The sequence below is a fragment of the Homo sapiens genome, chromosome 5 (assembly GCF_000001405.40).
Source record: "Homo sapiens chromosome 5, GRCh38.p14 Primary Assembly".
NCBI lineage: Eukaryota > Metazoa > Chordata > Mammalia > Primates > Hominidae > Homo > Homo sapiens.
In genome coordinates, this window is record NC_000005.10 from 43,345,577 (window position 1) to 43,351,309 (window position 5,733).

A 5,733-nucleotide genomic window follows, 5' to 3' on the forward strand; every position below is an offset into this window, starting at 1 on the left:
AATGAACTCCAACAAATTTACAAGGAAAAAACAAACAACCCCATCAAAATTGGGCAAAGCATATGAACAAACACTTCTCAAAAGAAGACATTTATGTAGCCAAAAGACACAGGAAAAAATGCTCATAATCACTGGCCATCAGAGAAATGCAAATCAAAACCACAATGAGATACCATCTCACACCAGTTAGAATGGCGATCATTAAAAAGTCAGGAAACAACAGGTGCTGGAGAGGATGTGGAGAAATAGGAACACTTTTACACTGTTGGTGAGACTGTAAATTAGTTCAGCCATTGTGGAAGTCAGTGTAGTGATTCCTCAGGGATCTCATGGCACAGGTATACTTATGTAACTAACCTGCACATTGTGCACATGTACCCTAAAACTTAAAGTATATAAAAAAAAAAAAAGCTAAAGAGCTTCTGCACAGCAAAAGAAACTACCATCAGAGTGAACAGACAACCTACAGAATGGGAGAAAATTTTTGCAATGTACTCATCTGACAAAGGGTTAATATCCATAATCTACAATGAACTCCAACAAATTTATAAGAAAAAAACAAACAATCCCATCAAAAAGTGGGCGAAGGATATGAACAGACACTTCTCAAAAGAAGACATTTATGCAGCCAACAGACACAAGAAAAAATGCTCATCATCACTGGTCATCAGAGAAACGCAAATCAAAACCACAATGAGATACCATCTCACACCAGTTAGAATGGCAATCATTAAAAAGTCAGGAAACAACAGGTGCTGGAGAGGATGTGGAGAAATAGGAACACTTTTGCACTGTTGGTGGGACTGTAAACTAGTTCAACCATTGTGGAAGTCAGTGTGGCGATTCCTCAGGGATCTAGAACTAGAAATACTATTTGACCCAGCCATCCCATTACTGGTTATATACCCAAAGGACTATAAATCATGCTGCTATAAAGACACATACACACGTATGTTTATTGCTGCACTATTCACAGTAGCAAAGACTTGGAACCAACCCAAATGTCCAACAATGATAGACTGGATTAAGAACATGTGGCACATATACACCATGGAATACTATGCAGCCATAAAACATGATGAGTTCATGTCCTTTGTAGGGACATGGATGAAGCTGGAAACCATCATTCTCAGCAAACTATCGCAAGGACAAAAAACCAAACACCGCATATTCTCACTCATAGGTGGGAATTGAACAATGAGAACACATGGACACAAGAAGAGGAACATCACACACCGGGGCCTGTTGTGGGGTCAGGGGAGGGGGGAGGGATAGCATTAGGAGGTATACCTAATGTTAAATGACCAGTTAATGGATGCATCACACCAACATGGCACATGTATATATATGTAACAAACCTGCATGTTGTGCACATGTACCCTAAAACTTAAAGTATAATAAAAAATAATAAAAGGTAAAATGTATGATATAGTAAATATGAAAACTTTAATATTTCTTGATTTAGATATTTCTTTCTTGGTTCTTCTAGTTTAAATGAAGAAAAACATTTATTGTTGTATTAACCTTTTTGTTTTGTGGACTTTAATTCTTTAAAAGTAGAACTTTGTGTTTCATCTCTCTGCTGAATATGAAGGTGCTACAGGATACAAAATCGTGGGTTTAGGCATGACCTGTTTTGTTTGTTTTTTTCAGATGGAGTCTCACTTTGTCAGTCAGACTGGAGTGCAGTAGCACGATCTCAGCTCACGGCAACCTCTGCCTCTCGGGTTCAAGAGATTCTCTCAAGTAGCTGGTATTACAGGTGCCCGCCATCACACCTGGCTAATTTTTGTATTTTTAGTAGAGATGGGGTTTCCCCATGTTGGCCAGGCTGGTCTCAAACTCCTGATCTCAAGTGATCTGCCCCCCTTGGCCTCCCAAAGTGCTGGGATTACAGGCTGAGCCACCGCACCGGGCCGGCATGACCTGTTTTAATCCGTGCAAACATGTGGCTACTTGCACTAAAGCAACAAATAGTTGTAGTGCATATTTGCCCTTTTTTCTCTTGACTTCTTAGTATGTGGATCTCTTTTCTATATTTAGAGAATTCCCTATGAACATTTCTTGCTGTCTTCCTTCCACAATAAGAAGATGGGAGCAACAGATAATCACTTTCCCAGATCACCTAACAGTTGGAAAGAAAGCACATGACCTGGGTTCAGCCAGTCAGATGCATCTAAGTGGGACTTTGAATCTGAAGCTAGTGTTGGAAAGAAGCAAGCCAAGTGGACAGTTCTTTCTGACAATGGCTGCCATAGCTGCCCTGTCTGTTATCTAGGGGCAAAGGGCAAGAGAGTATTCAGGACCAGTGGTACAAGCCACAGCACCAGCATCCTGCAGAGGGAATAGGTCTTTCCTGACTGGCATGATTATGGCTGCTGTGCTGAATGACTAGCAACCCTTCCTTTCTGCCCATTTTCTAGACCTGGTTGTTCAGCCTTCTTAGAAATTCTGAGATGCCCAGTATCATTTTAATAAATCCTTTTTCTGCTTAAACCAGTCGGAATTGGTGTCTGATACAATGGCTGTCTAACTATGTCTAACTATGTCTATGGTTGCACCTTTTGAAATTTCCGTACCTAATTTATGTTAAAAAAAACCATACAAATGAATGAACAAAAATCCTTTTGTCATCTGCTGCCAAGGTGCTGAGTTCTTCCGAGGAAGCTAAAGCTGACTTGGAGTGAGGCCGTCACTTGATCTGACAATGAGCACCACTCCCAGCAGCATCAGCCCCGTACTCACCTGCACCATGGACTCTGTCTCTGAGCTCACCTGCATCTACTCAGGCCCCATTCTGCATGTTGAGGGTCTTATCTTATCATGGAAGATAAGATAAATGCCACCATTAAAGTAGCTGGTGGAAATGTTGAACCTTTCTGGCCTGGCTTGTTTGCAGAGGCCCTGGACAATGTCAACATCAGGAGCCTCATATGCGCTGGAGAGGCCAGTGGACCTGCTCCAGCACCTGGTGCTGCACCAGTGGGAGGTCCTGCTCCCTCCACCACTGCAGCCCAAGCTGAAGAGAGGGAAGTGGAATCAAAGAAAGAAGAATCCGAGGAGTCTGATGATGCATGGGCTTTGGTCTTTTTTGACAAAATCTCTTTTGTAACATGTTCAATAAAAAACCAAACTCTTAAAAAAAAAAAAAACACAACCTGTAATGTTATTTCGTGACCCATATAGGCACTAGGAGACTATGAACACGGGATTTTAACTGATACGTGTTATAATCCAACTATGCCTATGTCTTTTTTTATACATCCTTGTGAAATCCAGAAAAGTAATATGAAAATGGCATGGACCTTGTTGAAGGGAGTGGCACATAGAGAGCATCACTGTAAAATACTCCTGGCATCTCCATACCCACTTACTCTCTCCTTCTCCTAGAGGAAAGACTGATTTACCTAATTTAAGGGTTGGAAGAAGAAACCAGGAAGCTGTGGCCCCAGCCCATTCCCTTCCATCTTGGGAGCCACCACCAGACTGCATGAGCTGTGTTGACCTTACCATGTAGTAAGCTTGGAGTACCAGCCCTGCCCTTCTGAGCTTGTCCTGGTGCACCCTTGCCTGTGCCTGAGAGGGTGAGTCTGCAGTTCAGAGGTTCAGCATTAGGAAGCTCACTATACTGTACACACCTAGATCATGTCCTTTACCTTGACTCTTAGCAGGAATATAGGCAATACTTTAGTCTTACTCAGCAATCGTTTAAGAACTTGACAGGAGAAGAGGACAGTTTTTAAATGTAGCACTGGCAGACTCAAACAGATTTATACAAATTATTCCATTTGTACTTTCAAAGTAAAATTCTAGGCTGGGCGTGGTGGCTTACCGTGTAATCCCAGCACTTTGGGAGGCCCAGGGCGGGTGGATCGCTTGAGGCCAGGAGTTTAACAGCAGCCTGGCCAACACGGTGAAACCTTGTCTCTACTAAAAATACAAAAATTAGCCAGCCATGGTGGCATGCACCTGTAGTCCCAGCTACTCGGGAGGCTGAGGCAGGAGAATCACTTGAACCCAGGAGGTGGAGTTTGCAGTGAGCTAAGATTGCGCCATTGCACTCCAGCCTAGGTGACAGGGGGAGACTCCATCTCAAAAACAAAACAAAACAAAACAAAAAATAAAGTAAAATTCTAAAAATTTAATGTGTATCAAGTTTGCTACTTTTTTCTTCTTCTCTCCGTCTGAATCCAATCAGGAAAGAGGAAACACATAGTAATTTAAACAGGAAATGTTTAATATAAAGAATTAGGCACTAAATGATGAGATTGGTGTACCTACATTGAGTAGTCAAGAGAGAATTCTAAAGAATACAGGAATAGCAGATATAAAGAGCAGCCACTATCCCCAGGTCTCTTAGGTGAGATGGAGCATCCAAGGAAAAGCCCCCACACTGGGCTGAGAGCCAGACTTTGTTGGAGAGAACTTGGCTGTGGCTCACGGAAAGGCACAGAAGTCACTATGGTGGCATGTCCTCTGGAATTTGTGGAAATTTATCCTCCAGGGTGCTGGGGAAAATTGTTGGGGCTCACCAGAGGCGTTGGGCTACAAAGCTGCTCAAGACCGGGGGCTGGTGTTGAGAAGGGGAGTGCTGCTGGCCTCTGGGGGCTACTGCCTCGTCCCACACCCCACACACTAAACTCTTGCAGGAGCCTGCTGAGAGAAGCACAGGGAATCAGAAAGCAAAACCCCTTTTTCCCTCTTGCAATGTCTTTCTAGAACCCCTCCACTGACAAAGCTTAACATTGTGCCAGCTGGCAAAGGAAAATCCTTTGAAGATCCCAGAATTGTTTTCACAGTACAGGGAAATTAACAGAGTGAATTTGAAGCTGAGATGACACAAACCCATAACCAATACCCCTAGATATTGATTTGGCTTTATTTTATGGTGGTATTAAGTTAATTGTATCTTCTGACACTAATATCCACTTTTGAAAATTCAGAGTAATCCAGCACTGAAGTAGTGAATGTCCGTGCTTACCCAAAGGCCTCTTCCGGGAATCTGGAGTTGAATTTTTGTATTTTCTGTTGTTCCCATAAGGAATATTGAGATTTTTTTTCTTTTCCAATAGCTGCTTATGTACTCAGACGATACTGATAGGTTCTGCTAGATTTTTCAATCACTCTTTTATTTCCTTCCCAAGAAAATCTTGCTCCTGTTGTTTCCTCTCTTAGGCTTCCTATTCTTATGATTTTTTACAAAGTCCATGTACTATCATTTCAGTCAGTTTTCACAAGGGAGTAAATGTCAATGTATATTCAATTCATATTTTTACTTGGAAGTCTCTGTCCTGGTTTTAGGTGGCTCGTCTGCTAAAGGAGGTAGCCCACCTGCTCTTATCCTGAGAAACTGTTATCAGTCCATGCTGCCCCCAACTTCATAGAGCACATGTCACATTCTTAGGAGTCCCATGGAAGCCCCATTCCATTTGAGGGAAGGAAATCAAAGCATACCTCTCTCCAAAGAAAACTTCCTCACCTAACTTGTCTCTTGAGCACTCCTCTTTCAACTCACTCAGGGTTCAACCAGAGAAACCGAACCAACAGGAGATATATAGTCAAAGATTTACTGCAAGTAATTGACTTACACAGTTGTGGGGACTGGCTAGGCAGATCCTGAAAGCAAGCCATCAGGAACAGCAGGCTGGAGCTTCAGGCAACAGCTGCAGCTGCACTCCACATGTGGAATTGCTTTTTCTTCAGGGAAGTCTCAGCTTTGCTTTTCAAATCTTT

The 5,733-nt window shown here is 42.5% G+C and overlaps 1 pseudogene; it reads left to right on the top strand.

The window, feature by feature from the left end:
- Positions 1-1,964: 1,964 nt before the first annotated feature.
- Positions 1,965-3,095, top strand: LOC107986378 (60S acidic ribosomal protein P1-like; annotated as a pseudogene).
- The last annotated feature ends 2,638 nt before the right edge of the window (positions 3,096-5,733 follow it).